General features: G+C 38.1%; 1 protein-coding gene across 13 annotated transcripts in view, besides 3 other annotated features; it reads left to right on the top strand.

Annotated features, from left to right (window-relative positions):
* The window catches only part of PARG (poly(ADP-ribose) glycohydrolase), a 123,749-nt gene that overhangs the window by 96,169 nt on the left and 11,174 nt on the right, over nt 1-16,406 (top strand). For all 13 annotated transcript variants that reach the window (NR_130169.3, NR_136752.3, NR_136754.3 and 10 more), the window contains 3 exons: nt 2,227-2,305; nt 3,801-3,909; nt 12,951-13,056. Coding sequence is in view for 6 of the 13 variants with exons in the window: in NM_001303486.3 (NP_001290415.1) it covers nt 2,227-2,305; nt 3,801-3,909; nt 12,951-13,056 (294 nt within the window). In the remaining 7 variants the exon portion in view is untranslated. The remainder of the gene's footprint in view (nt 1-2,226; nt 2,306-3,800; nt 3,910-12,950; nt 13,057-16,406) is intronic.
* Nucleotides 8,402-8,696: an enhancer, noted in NCBI's record as "tiled region #10647; HepG2 Activating DNase matched - State 5:Enh". NCBI's record gives its function as "activates a minimal TATA promoter and a strong SV40 promoter by Sharpr-MPRA in HepG2 cells {active_cell/tissue: HepG2}" and the evidence as "EXISTENCE:reporter gene assay evidence [ECO:0000049][PMID:27701403]".
* Nucleotides 13,421-14,184: an enhancer, noted in NCBI's record as "OCT4-NANOG-H3K27ac hESC enhancer chr10:51039721-51040484 (GRCh37/hg19 assembly coordinates)". NCBI's record gives its function as "activates a minimal SCP1, AML or CMV promoter by ChIP-STARR-seq in naive and primed H9 embryonic stem cells {active_cell/tissue: H9 hESC(naive and primed)}" and the evidence as "EXISTENCE:reporter gene assay evidence [ECO:0000049][PMID:30033119]".
* Nucleotides 14,185-14,950: an enhancer, noted in NCBI's record as "OCT4-NANOG-H3K27ac hESC enhancer chr10:51038955-51039720 (GRCh37/hg19 assembly coordinates)". NCBI's record gives its function as "activates a minimal SCP1, AML or CMV promoter by ChIP-STARR-seq in primed H9 embryonic stem cells {active_cell/tissue: H9 hESC(primed)}" and the evidence as "EXISTENCE:reporter gene assay evidence [ECO:0000049][PMID:30033119]".

The following is a 16,406-nucleotide window of genomic DNA, read 5'->3' as shown; positions in this document are numbered from 1 at the left end:
GTGATGTGACCTTGGCTCACTGCAACCTCTGCCTCCTGGGTTCAAGTGATGCCCCTGCCTCTGCCTCCCAGGTAGCTGGGATTATAGGTGCCTGCCACCATGTTCAGCTAATTTTTGTATTTTTAGTAGGGACAGGGTTTCACCATGTTGGCTAGGCTGGTCTCGAACTACTGACCTCGAGTGATCTCCCCACCTCGGCCTCCCAAAGTGCTGGGATTACAGGCATGAGCCACTGTGCTTAGCCACATTCAATACAATTTGCATTAAGTAAGCGATAATCTGGGTGGGCCTGATTCAGTTGGGTGGAAGGCCTTAAGAGCAGAGCTGAGGCTTCTCTGAAGAGGAAATTCATTCTGTGCACTGCCACTTCACCCATGCCTGAGAGTTCCAGTGCACCCTTTGGACCTGACTAGTCAGCTCCACAATTGTGTAGGCCAATTTTTGGCAATAAATCTCTTCATATATATGTCCTCCTGGTTCCATTTCTCTGGTTGAGCAATGACTGATACAAATCTATTGTAAGGAAACCTGCTATGAACATTGTTCTTTGCAGTTTTTGTGAGCACACATTTTCAGTATTTGTTTAGTAGATATCTAGGAATGGAAATTGTAGGTCAAAGGTTACGTGTATGTTTAATTTTACAAGGGATTGCCAAACTCTTTTCCAAAATTATTACACCAATTTATGTTCTCCCAGCAATATAAAATGAGATTTCCACTTGTTTTCCATCCTCGTCAACATTTAGTGTTGTCATTCGTTTTTATTCTTTTGTATTTTAGCCTCTCTTTTGAGTGTATGGTGGTTTCTCACTGTGATTTTTTTTATTTGCATTTCTCTGATGACTAATAATGTTGAGCAATATTTTATGTGGTTGTTAGCCAGTTGTATATCTTCCTGTGTGAAGTTTATATTCAGGTCTTCTGTCCATTTTTCTAAATTGGGTTGTGTTTTTATTGCAGACATGTAGGAGTTCGTCGCATATTCTGAACACAAGTCCTTTGTCAGATATTTGATTTGCAAATATTTTTTCTCCAGTCTTGTCTAAACATTTTCCTGAAGGTGTTTTTTCATTGTTTGTTCGTTTGTTTTTTGTTTTTGTTTTTGTTTTGAGATGGAGTCTTGCTCTGTCACCCAGGCTGGAGGGCAGTGGCATGATCTCAGTTCAATGCAACCTCCGCCTCCCAGGTCTCCATTTAAGTTTTCTTTTTTTTTCTAGTGTCTTTTTTTTTTTTTTTGAGATGGAGTCTTGCTCTGTGGCCCAGGCTGGAGTGAAGTGACACAATCTCCGCTCACTGCAACCTCTGCCTCCCAGGTTCAAGCGATTCTCCTGCCTCAGCCTCCTGAGTAGCTGGGATTACAGGCACACGCCACAATGCCCAGCTAATTTTTGTATTTTTATTAGAGACGGAGCTTCACCATGTTGGCCAAGCTGGTCTCGAACTTCTGACCTCAGGTGATCCACCAGCCTCGGACTCCCAAAGCGCTAGGATTACAGGCGTGAGCCACTGCACCTGGCCAGTAGTGTCTTCTTTGTTGTTATGTTTACTCCTAGGTATTTTATGGTTTTTGACATTATGGGTAATGGATTTTTAAAAAATGTTTATTTTCCCATTGTTTGTTGCTAGTACACAGACATACCCTTGATCTAAGTTTACTTATATGCTTTTTCTTTATTTTAATTTCCCCTTTCTTTTCTTTTCTTTTTTTTCTTTTGAGACTGAATCTCGCTCTGTCTCCCATGCTGGAGTGCAGTGGCACACTCTTGGCTCACTGCAACCTCCGCCTCCCAGGTTCAAGCAGTTCTCCTGCCTCAGCCCCCCTAGTAGCTGGGATTAAAGGCACACACCACCAAGCCTGGCTAATTTTTACATTTTTAGCAGAGGTGGGGTTTCACCATGTTGGCCAGGCTGGTCTTGAACTTCTGACTTTAGGTAATCCACCCGCCTCTGGGATTACAGGCATGAGCCACTGCGCCTGGCCTCTCTCTTTAGTTCAGTGATTCCTTAGGATTTGCTATGTAAACAAGCATGATATCTACAAATAGGGACAGTTTGACTTATTTTTTTACATTCTTTATGCCTTTTTGTTTATTTTCTTGCCTTATTGCACTGGCTGGAGAGACCTTCAGTACAGTGCTAAACAGAAGTTATTCTTGCCATGTTATGAAAGGTGGAATGTTTTTGCCATCAAGTGTGAAGTTAATAGTGACAGATTGTTTGTTTCAGGTACTGAGCAGTACAGTGAATACACAGGCTATGCTGAGACATATCGTTGGTCCCGGAGCCACGAAGATGGGAGTGAAAGGTGAGTCTGTTTCTGTCTTCAGTATTCCATGGCTAAAAGCAAAGGAATTTGGGCTTGACCCTCACACACTCTCATTCTGTCTACTTGTATTTCAGCAAGTGAACTTAAAAAGAAAAAAGAAAAGAAATCAGCATTACAGGTTCATTGGCATTGAAAACACTATTACCATCTTCCTGTACCAAAGGGAAGAACAGAGAAGATAAAACCAAAAGTCTAAAGCAAAGACAAAGAGGGGCAGAATTCTCTACAGTTCTTTACCTCTGAGCTACAATCAGAAACCGTGGAGGTTAAATTCCATGTTTAAATCTGAGTAGAATAGGTTCTAATTAGAGCTTAAAGCCTTTGACCAACTTATTAAGTTATCTTTAATTTTTCTGTGAAATTAGGTGGAGGAAACCTATGTTGCGACAGTTGACCTAATGCCACAAACCAGTTGATGGCAGAACCTGCGGTGTGCTTTGCTGCTTTGTCTCCTATATCTTCTTGAAATATAGTCTTCTACTTTGACATTCTTACTTCTAGTTAACCAGAGATAAAATTTTGCAGAAATGCTACCTGAAAGCTTGTGGGGTTTTTTGTTTTGTTTTGTTTTGTTTGTTATTTGATGAGAAAACCATTGTGGCAGAAAGAATCAGCTCTTGCCCACGTGCCACAAATTTATTCCTCATAATGTCTCAAGTCCATCCTCTGCTTTCTTGCTATTTTGTTTAAAATATATGGTTGCAACAAACATCTATGTAGATGTTTATTCTACATTATTTACAATTATTTACAAACCAGCATGAAGATTTCTATTGTTGGTTTTCAGTTTGAAAAGTTGCTTGGCACAGCAATATATGCAAGTTTATAAAGAGATTAAATATTTGGGATTTTACATGTTTCCAAAATTATCATCTCAACCAGTCCTTTCTATTTCCACAGGCAACATGGTATTGTCTGCTTTGATGTCTTTGTTATTTTAAAAATAGTTTCTCACAGTCAGCAATTGAGCACAGTAGGTAGAATGCTGCACTGAATTATTTCACATTTTTGTAACACTTCTTAGGATTATTTCCTGGACAGTATATAGTGATGTTACAACCCCAGTGATTTAAAGCAGATCTCTCAAAGCAAAGGAGGAATGAGCTTTGTCAGGATGCAAGTGGCATGTCCTTAGTATTAGAGGAAAACAAAGAACTAGATTCCTTTTGTTTGCCCCCAAATCCTTTAACCTCTGAGACTTACTATAAATGATTTACCTGTTTACACTATGTCATTGTGTTGTCTCTGGGTAATTTTTCATTTTACTTTTTAAAGCCTGACAGTGCACACTGTATATGCCTCAATCTAAAAATAAAGGGTGTTTCCTTTCCTTTCCTTTTGCTCAGACCTGCAGACACTGGTTTGTTTTTAATATTTTAACAGAGCTAAAGTCTTGGCAACCTGACCCCTGAGAGGATTTTATTTGAGCGACTACCTGTTCCTTATCTTTTCTCCCCTTTCCTTCCTGTCCCAGGGACGACTGGCAGCGGCGCTGCACTGAGATCGTTGCCATCGATGCTCTTCACTTCAGACGCTACCTCGATCAGTTTGTGCCTGAGAAAATGAGACGCGAGCTGAACAAGGCCAGTAACCTTATTTCTTAGTTCATCTGGCAGCTGTCATCTATTTACTGCCATTTTATTAATGCTGAAATTAATGCTTTCTGGTAATTATTGCAGTGTCAGTATGTCTGCCCACAGCTCTCCTGATTTAATGGCTCTGTCAGCTTGTACAAGATGTACTTTCCATTTTGTAATTGTTTGATTCGCAGCTAAGGTTGCCAGATAGGCTGTTGCTTAGTTTTAAACCCCACACATGCATTTATCTCATCAAGTACCTTAGCTGCTATGGGACATTATCAATGTAAAACCATATAGAAACAAATGAGCTCTGAAAATTTTTTTCTCAGACCTGCTTAATGACATTTTCTCTACAAAGTATGCTATCAGGGTTAAAACAGAAAAACTGAAAAAGCCAAATCAAATGTTGTTCTATTTTAGGTAAGATTTATGATGGTATCTATTATTTTCCGTAATACTTAGTGCCGCCTACTATATTCATTTTTTTCTTTTTTATTACAGAAATATAAAAATGAACCATACCTGTTGTTCAAATTTTCAGTATTGGCAACCATAATAAATAAACTCTGTTACACAACAGAGAGCTGATTCTGTTCTCTGGATTTTGGGCTTTCCCAAAACAGCAGAGATTTTCTTTTTAGTTCCTCGAATTATTCACTCAGCAGAGATTTTCTTTTTTTTCTTTTTTTCTTTTTTTTTGAGATGGAGTTTCGCTTTTGTGGCCCAGGCTGGAGTGCAATGGCATGATCTTGGCTCACTGCAACCTCCGCCTCCCAGGTTCAAGCGATTCTCCTGCCTCAGCCTCCCAAGTAACTGAGATTACAAGCGCCTGCCACCACGCCCAGCTAATTTTTATATTTTTAGTAGAGATGGGGTTTCACCATGTTGGCCAGGCTGGTCTCGAACTCCTGACCTCAGGCGATCCTGCCCGCCACAGCCTCCCAAAGTATTGGGATTACAGGCATGAGCCATTGTGCCCAGCCTAGAGATTTTCTTTAGTTCCACAAATTATTCACACAGCCAAGAAGACTGACCCAATTCTGAAAATCATTCTTTCACTCCCATGAGTAGGATTTAGTTATAAGATTATTAGGATAATGAGGCTTGTGGTTTTTACATGGCTATACATGGTGTGCCAGTTCCTACACAGACTTCTGAGAATAATAACAGTGATCTAGACAGATTTTTACTACACTTACAACTTAGTAGATATTTTGAACATAATTAAGTATCTTATATCCTGATCTATTTGGGAGAATCTAATTTATTGTTGAACATGTTCTCGTATGTATAATTTTTTAAATTATTTTAATGTTTAGAGTTCTCAAATTTTATAAAATGTTTGAAGAATAATGCACTATTTTTTAAAGTTGAACTTACGTAACAGGTGTCATTTATTTAAAAATGAAAATAAAAAGTAATCCCTCAGAAAAGCTATCCAGAAAGACCGGCCTTTGGTGTATCAACAGTTCTAAAGTTCTCTCCTACCTGACTCTGAAAGTCAGAGATTTGCCTGTACTGAAGATTTTTTTTTTTGTTGTGTTTTTTGTTTTTTTTTTTTTGAAGCAGGGTCTTTGTTGCCTAGGCTGGAGTGCAGTGGCATGTGCGATCACAGCTCACTGCAGACTCTCAACTTCTCTGGGCTCAGGTGATCCTCCCATCTCAGCCTCCTGAGTAGCTAGGAGTACAGGTGTGCACCACCACACCTGGCTAATTTTTCTTTTTTAGATACACTGGGTTTCACCATATTGCCCAGGCCAATTTCAAACTCCTGGGCTCAAGTGATCTCCTCCCCGTCGGCCTCCCAAAGTGCTGGGATTATAGGCATGAGCCACAATGCCCTGCCTGAAAAGTATCTTTTACTAGTAATTGGATACATTTTAAATGTAAGCCTATTTTCACTGTTCCAAACTCTTGCCTTAAAGCAATTGTCCCCAGTACCATGATGTTTTTAGGATAGAGCATATCGAGTAGAATAAGACTTGTCTTTAAATTTTCATGAGGTGCTACTTACCTAAACACGTATATGTGAATTTGTCACACGGTCAAGAGGACATTTATGTAAGCAGTAGGTTGTTGGAGAGAAATATGGAAAAGGAAAGTAGAACCAAAATGTGTTTAGCCACAGTTAATACATGAATACAAACTGAAAGCTTCACTATTTTATGAATGAACTGTATACTCCCACATATACTTTTCTATGAGAACTAGATCATTCACTTTTAGAAGTTATCCTCAATTATGATCTTTTAAGAAGGTAACTTTGGGCATAAGTCTTTTTTAAAATTGCCAGGTCCAGTTGATTCTCTCTGCACTTACTTGTGTATCACCAACCTTCAGTTTGCCCATCCTCAAAGACACCAGAAATTTAAAAGATATATGTGAATAGGTTAAGTTAGTTGTAAATATTGGCAACATGGAAGAACATTTATTTATAGAATATAGAGTCTTAATGAGGGGCGTTTTATACAAAGAATGAGTCTTCAAGTAACCTGGCAACAGGAGTTTTATTTCATTAGGAGTTGGCGGCAGTCAGTCACACTGCCTTATGGAAGTGTCTCAAAAATATTTTGTTAAATGACTTGACTGATAATTAAATAACTTTTTTTTTTTTTTTGAGACGGAATTTCACTCGTTGCCCTGGCTGGAGTACAATGGCGTGGTCTCAGTTCACTGCAACTTCCGCCTCCCGGGTACAAGTGATTCTCCTGCTTCAGCCTCCCAAGTAGCTGGGACCAGAGGCATGCACCACCACGCCAGGCTAATTTTTCTATTTTTAATGGAGGTGGAGTTTCATCATGTTGGCCAGTTTTGTCTCCAACTCCTGACCTCAGGTTATCTGCCCATCTCGGCCTCCCAAAATGCTGGGATTACAGGCGTGAGCCACCACGCCTGGCCTAAATAACTTCTTAGACAATGTTAATTTAGGTTTTTGAGGTAAATATTTTAGAAGTTACATAAGTACATTATCTTAAGTCACTCAATATGTCACAAAATGTTATATATTTCCTAAATATTCTTCAAGTGCTCAATAAAGCCTAGTAAGTTGAGTGTCAAATCAAGTTTGGGACAGATGAAGCCATGTGAAGCAGATGGGTTAATTTTTAATGTATAGTGATGCAGTTCTACATTCATTTTCAACCTGCAATTATTCATGTCAATATGCAATAAAGTCTAATTTATAATTCATAAAAGATTCTTTTCAGTCAAATGCAGGTGGAGTTTTTTTTTCAAATTATACAGATAACAATAGTAAAAGTAATTCTTGCCATTAAATGATTGTTTACTCTCTATGAGGCATTCTACTTAGTGCTTTAAATGCAGTGTCTGATTTAGTCCTAACCACTCAGGGAGGCATAACTATTTTTCTTGTCTCTCATTTAGAGACAGTGAGTTCACTTCTTAGGAAGTTGAGTAATTTGTCGCAGGCCAGGTCACATAGCTGGCCACTGACCAAACCAGGGCTCAAATTCAGGCTCCCCTGACTTCAAATCTTTTTTTTTTTTTTTTTTTTTTTTTTTGAGACGGAGTTTCACTCTTGGTGCCCAGGCTGGAGTGCAATGGCATGATCTCGGCTCATTGCAACCTCCACCTCCCGGGTTCAAGCGATTCTCCTGCCTCAGCCTCCTGAGTAGCTGGGATTACAGGCATGCACCACTACTCCCGGCTATTTTTGTATTTTTAATTAGAGACGGGGTTTCTCCATGTTGGTCAGGCTCATCTTGAACTCCCAACCTCAGGTGATCCACACGCTTCGGCCTCCCAAAGTGCCGGGATTACAGGCGTGAGGCACTGCGCCCAGCCAAATCATTTTTTAAAAATGTAAATCCTGCACATAGAGACTACTATAACTAGGCCTCACCTTCTAGACTTTTTGTGGTTCAAACTTAAATCATTGAGAATATTTCTGCTTTTAGAATAGTCTCCTACATGCTTATGCCTGAATCACTCTTCTTTTGTGATCATAAACTTCTGCTGTGAGCAAGGTACCTGTTAAATGCTTTTCTCAATATGGCTTTTCTGTTTGATATAGTTTTTCAAGGAAATTTGAGGGTTCCCCACCTGTGAGACAAGGAAATACCTCGAGTGTAATAGAGCCTATCAACACATGGACTAACTTTGAGAAAGCACCTAGTTCAGGGCCTGGCACATGGGAAGGCATCTGATAAATATGTGTTCTTTTATTCACTGATATATTCCAAAAAATGTGTTATTTTAACAAGGAATTAGTTTTTTAATTCTTTCACTGAAAAAGGAAAAAGCAGTAAATGATTTTGTTAAATGTCATTGGCAACTTAATCAGAAACTAATCCAAACAACTTTAGGCCTTCTAGATTAAAGCATTTGTCCCTTACTAGTTACATTTACCTATTAAAATTGACTTAAGAATTTTGGTTATGAGCAGCAGGAGTCTCACATAAACTGACAGCACAACTTGGAGACAATGTTTAATATTTTATATCTCATGTTTTACAAACTTTTAGAGCAGAAGTCTGTGTTAAATCACTTTAGAGATGACTTGCACAATTCTGCTTGTGTGTGTGTGTGTGTGTGTATATATGCATGCCAGAGAGAAAGGAGGAAAAGAAAAAAAAAAAACCCACATTTTTCTACGCGAAAAAGTAAAACCAGTTTTCACCGTCAGAATTCAGTATGGATCTCTGACCTCTGGGGACCTGTTTGCTACTTTTAAGCATTACTCACCAGTTAATAATTGAAAAGCCAATCCTACAAAGTGCTTTCCAGGCCTCTGGAAAAGGTCTGCTCCATCCAGGCTCCACCGGTCTTATTGGACCCACATCGTGACCTGCAAGTAGAGTTGGTTTTTAAAGGGGGGGACCAGTCTCCTTCTATCTAACTCATACTGTGAAGCAATGTTTAATCCTGTGAGAGATCAGCTGGGTATCATTCTAAAGGAGAATTATTTTAGGGTTAGAAAGATTTATGACTTCAGCTTGTAAAAGTGGCAAATAGCACTGCAAGAGAAGAAACAAATCACTTGTGAAAAGTTGTATTTGCCATGTTAGGTAGGATTTTAGGTAGGATTAAGTAATGAATATGTTTTGTGGAGCTTTCTGAATCTGAGATTGAACAAGGTGGAGAGATACAAATCATCCCTATTTACCTTTTTAAAAATTGATCTGTTTATTGATGTTTTTGTTATTATTCACCACCGTATTTGGAATAGGACTGTTATTAAACCAAAGCCTGAAAACAAAACCAGTCAGTATTTGCTGCTGATATTCCTAAGAAGTTCAGCATCTGAGCACTTACAGTCTTTTCATAAAATATGTGTCACTTTACTTTTCGAGAATGTTCAAAATGTATCATTTGTAGTGGGTTTTCCCTTAAGTTTCCCAATATATAGAATCAGAATAACAATTAAATACATAACCCAATCTTGGATTTTATACATCAGGAAACTAAGATCTGCATACTTCTTTCATTTTATATATTGCATTTTAGAATAGCAAAAACAATGTATTAATGTTATAATTATTTTAGGGATGAAGTCTAATCTCAGCTACTCGAGAGGCCGAGGCAGGAGAATCGCTTGAACCCGGGAGGTGGAGTTTGCAGTGAGCTAGGATCACACCACTGAACCCAGCCTGGGCTAAAAAAAAAAAAAAAAAAAAAAAAAAAAAGTCGTAAGAAATCAGAGAATACTAAAAACCTCAGAAAATCAGTATCAATATCCACTGTGTATTAAGTTAAAGAAGTATAGTAGATTGATTTCATATAAATGAGTAACTTTAGGAACAATAATTATTAAATTATTCCAGCAAATAGAATAATGTATTTACATGATAATGAAAGACATCTTTTAAGTAAAATCATGCATCACTTAAAGATGGAGATATGTTCTGTGAAGTAGTCACTGTGCACATGTCACTTTACACAACCTAAGTGGTATAGCCTGCTACTCACCTAGGCTAGATGGTATGGCCTATTGCTCCTAGACTACAAACCAGTCGAGTGTGTTACTATACTGAATACTATAGGCAGCTGTGACGCAACGGTAGGTATTTGTGTCTTAAACATAGGGCAGGTGCTATGAAAATAATGGTATAATAATCTTATGGGACCATCGTCACGTTTGTGCTTCGTTGTTGACTGCAACATCACTATGCGGCACGTAACTGTCTATCTGCTTGGGCCTTCTAAAATTGATATTGAAGCCAAAGATCTTACTTAAGTGTAAAATCTTATACATCAGTTTGTGCCAGACTATTCCCCTGGATACCATTTCTTTCCTGGGCCTCATTTTGGGCCTGTAGACTTTATACCAGTTTTGTTTGGTCTCTTTTCCGTTTTCTTTCCTTCTTTCCTACATCTTTATCATTACCATGTCCTGGTTGGTCTCTAGTTTTTAACTCTAGGTACTAATATTTTCATCTTTCTTCTCAATACACCCCTTTGCAACCTTCAGGACTCCCAAATTACCTTTATGTTCGCTGTCTTCTTCCCTTCCCATCAAAACTCATTCCAAGAGAGGGTTGTTCATTGGTATCTTCTGCTTACTATCCTGAGGTCTCAGTGCTTCCTTTTTCTTTTCCCCCTTCTGAGTTGTTGATTAGTAAAAATAAATTGCTCTGTCATTGCAGACTGTCAGGGCAGGGTATGGCTAGAGTTCAAGCTGGCTTTCTTTTATTCTCGCAGCTTTCTGATGAGTCTTCTCAAGTACTCTTGCTCTGGGTGGGGGAAAAACAAACGCATTTGCCAATATAGAGCTCTTGAGAACTCCTAATGCCTTTCGCTGTGGAGTGAGAACTTGGCAACTCTTTTAAGGTCTCTATCCTTATCTCATCTTTGTTTCTTTACCAAGGGAGTTCAATTCCTACTCATAAAAGGAAAGGTCCCCTGATTCAAGGCTCTGCCCTGGTCTCCAGCACTTAAGGCATCCTTCTTCCTAGAGAAGGGAGAAGCCTGGGCTGACTTTCCAAAGAGGGCTCAGGGCAGCATACTACTGCTGTCTTATTTCTGACCTTACAAATGCTTGCTTCTTAACAGAATAAAATAATTTTGTATTTAATCATTATAACCAGTTATTCTAATTTCTATGTAATTTTATCATTTAATTTTTATCTGATTAATATTTTTTGGTGGCAGGGGTGGGGGATAGAGTTCACTGTCACCCAGGCTGGAGTGCAGTGGCACCATCATGGCTCACTGCAGCCTAGACCTCCCAGGCTCAAGCAGTCCTCCCACCTCAGCCTCCCAAGTAGGTGACACCACAGGTCTTGCCATATTGCCCAGGCTGGTCTCAAACTCCAGAGCTCAAGTGATCCTACCACTTCAGCCTCCCAAAGTGCTGGGGTTACAGCCATGAACTTTTAAAGATTTGATCTAAACACTGAATGAGGTTTATTTTCAGTTTCATGGTTTGTTTTTATGGCCATTTTTCAAGATAGATAATTTTCCAGGAAAATTGGATAATATTTTGTACTAGATTTTGCTTCTAATAATTTAAATGTTTCAAATTCTCAATCATTAGGCCTTAGTTTCACTAAGCTATTTTTGCACATTGAAGTAAAGTTAACCCAGTTATTTAGAGACAGCAGTAAGAAAGAAACTAAAACCATCCTGATAGTATAAAACAGAGAAATGAACTAGGAATCTGAGGAAGCCTTCTTCTCTCTAGGCATGTTAGAAAATTCTGACATGAAACAAAGCGGCAAAGTTATGTTTATTCTTCCAGAGGGTTTGTTTTTTCCCTTGTTCGTTAATGACACAGACTATCTTTCAAGAGCCTATTCAAAACAAATGGAGCTCTCAGATTTTTTTGACCTGAAAGAGATTTTCAGAAGCTCCATGCATCTGACTATGCAGGTAATTTGTGAGCGCTTGTGTAAGCTCTATACCACAGTGTTGAATAATGATCTGGTACCAACTTATAATTAATATCTGTCAGGATTTACAGTCTAGGAGGGTATGGAAGGAATAGCCTTGTTAATCCATCGAGACAGTCTGTAAAATAAATTTTTATACCTTTGTGGAAACTTCAAAGAACAATTTAATATATTTCTATGTGTGGGTTTCATAGAAGCATCTTTCTTTATCCTTGGTTTTTCTCTGGGAACATTTGTCAAGATCATTCTTTTAATTGTATTTGCTATTATATGTAAGCTATATTTTAGGCTTCGTTTGGAACTTGAGAACCCAGGGGAGTTTTGCTTTGCTGCTGTATTAAGCCTGTTACAGTCTGATCACTTCAGAAAATAAGAATTTAGAAAGAAGGCAGAAAGACCAACTAGCTGACAGCAAAGAGGTGGAAATCAGGAACTCTGGGATCTTACACAATGGTCTTCTCATATAGAAAATGAGCTGTTCATTTAATTAATACTTAGCCAGCATCTTCAGAATATATTGTACTTTTCTCACATTACTGGCAAGTTTTTAAATATTCTAGCTTAAAACAGAGCTGTGAAACTAGAGAATCTTAGAGCCAAAAGGCATCTTAAAGGTTATTTCATAACCAGGTATAGGAATCCCTTCTATAGATAGTTGCTTGCTCTTTGTTAAGTATGTCAGTAGCAGGAAGCACATTTATTAATCTAATCTCCATAACTGAGAGAGAGAATGCTGAGGAGGCATAATAGTGACCCTTTGCCTGATGAAAAAAATAGTGATTAAAGCCTTCAAAGAAAAAGAAAACTGTTCTAACAAGTCCCTTTCCTGGTAGTTTTTCCTAGTAGTTTATAATTGGGATCCTATTAGTTCTTGAAATATCTGCTATTTTCATTTCTGTTTGTTTGAAGTGGAAAAATAAATTGGGACCTGTATTAGTTTAAGGGATTTTATGTGCTTAGCATTCAAACAAATAAATATTAGAATTTATCATTTCTTAGTCTCTTCCTTGCATAATCCCAGGTTTTTCTCTCCCTTTCTCCCTCTTTGTTTTTCCCTCTATTTTGGCCCCTATGGAAAAAAAAAATGAGAAATTGAACATAAGCTTGATAATGGACACTGATCCTAGTACATCAGTCAGAAACACTGTTAGTGTCTAGGCACTCACAGGCTTTGATAATTCTTTTATCCTGCAGGCTTACTGTGGATTTCTCCGTCCTGGAGTTTCTTCAGAGAATCTTTCTGCAGTGGCCACAGGAAACTGGGGCTGTGGTGCCTTTGGGGGTGATGCCAGGTTAAAAGGTAAGTTGTTGTAGAAAAGGATAAAAGCATTCTGCCCACACAAAAAAAGTTAGTCCTTCAAACCAGATTTCTCATGTCCTGTCATGAGACCACAAAAATCTAAGAGAAAAGGAAAAGGAATATTTAACACTATTTTCTTTTTTCCTATTATGTTTGAAGGAATTCTTATTTCATTTACCATTTTCCTTCAGAGGTCGCTTATCACTTTGATCCCCCAGACACAGTATTTTGTTGAGTATTGAAAGATTGGCAGGAGGAGAAGAGCATATAATGACTGCGAAGTTTCAAACCTGAGTTTTCACTTTCCTCCACTGGAGTGATTTTTATGGACAGTTATTTCACAGACTCATTCATCCACCAAATTTAATAGCACCTCTGCCACTTTCTAGGCACAGTGGTAGGCTCTGAGATACAAAGATGGAGAAGATGTGATGCCTGCTTTGGAATTCACAGTCCAGTGTATGAGAGAGAGGCAGTATGAGACCGATGCAGTACATGGGAATGAGTGCTGTAGTGGAGGCCCATGGGGCTGTGGGAGCACAGCCTGGGAGAGCTGCATGAATGGCACAGATAGGAGGCATCTGGATGTCCAAGAAGCAGAAACATTTCTTACGTGTTATTGTTTGTGGTAGGAAATTCACAAAATCCGATCAACAAAGCTATTGGCCATTTACTACATTGACATTTTTTCAAAGTATCAGTTATAGAAAATAATACTATATCATTACTTAGGATGATTACTTTTCCATTTCATCCCAACTGGTCTGACACCACCTGGGTGTACTGCATTGCAAATCTGACACTGACTACCTGGAGTAATCGCAGATCTCGCCTATTAAGAACAGAGTCCACAAGACTGCCCCCACTTCAGACTCCATCCACAAGTTTCAGGGGAATCCCCAGGCCACGCACATTTCTGTCCAGCTGGTTACTATTGTAGGAGGTTCCCATGTCCCCACCTCAGGTTCCATAATTTACTAGAATGACTCACAGAACTCAGAAAAAAGTCCTGTCCTTACCACTGCAGTTTTATTATAAAGGAGACACATAAAGCGAAGCCTAGAAGGGAAAGCAGAGCTTCTACAACCCTTCCCCTTAGTGTCAGGGCACCCCACTCTCCTGGCACATCAGCGTGTACACCAGTCAGGAGGCTGCACTGACCTTTGGTGACCAAAGATTTCATTGAAGTCTCATTCTGTAGGCATGATTGATTAAATCATTGGCCACATGATTGAGCTCGGTCTCTGCCCTCCCCTGACTCCCGGATGTGCAATCTGAATCGCCTCATTAGCAGAACAAAGGCACCAGCACTCAGGAAATTCCAAGGGTGTTTGAAGCTTTTACCAGGAACCCAAGATGGCACACCAGAAAAATTCTTTTTTATACCACAGTTACAAAGTAACAAGCAATAAAGCAGACATAAAACAGCCAGCTGGCCTTAATAGCTGAACTATATTTAGATAAAATTCATCTCTTTGAGAATACTTGAGTCTGTCATAATGTAACTGCCTTTCCCCTCATCAGTAAAATGCTTCTTAATATTTTTATAAAAATGACACATTTATTATTTTTTTTTAATCTAGAAAAATACCATGAAGTATATAAAAATCACTAGAATTCACTGTCAGCATTTGGTGACCATTCTTCAGGTCATCTCAGTAGCAATGTATGTAACTTGATGAAGTGACACCCTCTATTCTATTCTCCAGCCTCCTCCTTTTAGAAAGTCTGCAGTCTCATGGATAGTTTTCAACTATCCATCTAACAAATGTAGATCTACTGAGTACTCAGCATTTGTTAGTGGCTACACAGTATTCTGTTGTATGCACATATGTACCATAATTTATTTCACAGATTCTCCATTCAGAGTTTGTTTTCATTATATTATAAGGAGTACTACAGTGTGTAGTACAATTATATATATTATGTGTAATTATCTTCTTAAGGTAAATTCCTAGAGGTGAGATTAATGACTCAAAGAATACGTATACTTCATTTTGATCCTTGTAGATTTCACTCTGAAAGGTGATATCAATTCACATTGTCTTCCTCACATGAACAGCATCACCAAGACAGGACTTTGTTACTATTTTTCATTTCTCTAAGGTTCAACAGTTTTCGTGTTTATTGGCCATTTGTTTGTTTTGTGAATTGCTTTTTCATGCCTTCTGCCCATTCATCTCTTTGGGAGTAGTTTGATTTTATCACTGGCTAGTAATAACTCTTTGTATATTAAAAAATATTAATTGTTTAACTGTTACATGTTATAAACATTTTTCTGCTTCTTCATTTATTTCAACCGATCAGGCTGAAGTTACTGAGTTAGCTTTTATGTGTTCACATTTTTGTGGTGTGCTTATAAAGATGTTTCCTGTCCCTTTATGCTAAAGACTTTCACCTACATTTTCTTCAAATTCAAAGACAAAAACTGCATGGTGCTATTTTCGGTGTTTGAGGAAACCTATTTTTCACTCTGGGCTTATTGATCTTACGACAGATACTTTTTTCCTGTCTTTCTCTTAAGTAAAATGAATGACTAGATTCAAGTCATCAATCCAGAAGCTAGGTCTGCTGTAAGCCGTGGTCATTTGTGATAGACAGTTTGGAAAGCTTTATAAATGTGTTCACTTCTTTTCCTTTTTTCTTTTTTTCTGGCTTAAAAGCCTTTCAGACTGCAGCTGTGCTTGCTCTGGTGACTATCAAGCATAGTAGTCTAAGATTTCCATTATATAATTCATTTCCTCAACTATTGAGATTTAAATTTTGGAGTAACTGACATTTCCCTCCCCTTCATTAGCATAAATATTCATTAAAAATTTAGAATGAGTCATAAAGTCCTTCAATGGGGAATTGGTTACTAAACTATGATGCTAAAAAAAAAAGAAATTATGGTACATTTATGCAATAAAATATTATGCTTCCTTTAAAAACCATTATAGAAATGTGTCTGCTGACAGGGAAAGATGGTTTTGGAATATTGACAAATGGGAGAAATACCCAATGTATGCCATATAAACCATTTTAAAATTAAATTGTGAATATAAAATATCACACACAAATTTGCAGTTCTCTATGTTCATCTGTTTACGTGCCAGGATTAACTATGGTTGTTCTCTAGTGGGTGATAGTCTTTGTTTTGTTTTGTTGGGGGTTTTTTCATTTTTTATTTTTAGTAGAGATGGGGTTTCACTATGTTGCCTAGGCTGGTGTTGTGATTACACTTGTGAGCCACCACACTTGGTCAGTGATGTTTTATACTTTATTTTTAATCTGCATCTTTTTTATTGTGAGCATATATTGTTTTTGTAACAAAAAAATCTTATAAAAAATGTTCATGGTGGGTAACATGG

This window comes from Homo sapiens, chromosome 10 (genome assembly GCF_000001405.40).
Source record: "Homo sapiens chromosome 10, GRCh38.p14 Primary Assembly".
NCBI lineage: Eukaryota > Metazoa > Chordata > Mammalia > Primates > Hominidae > Homo > Homo sapiens.
The sequence above is the reverse complement of the archived record's forward strand: the minus strand, read 5'-3'. Positions and strand labels throughout refer to the sequence as shown.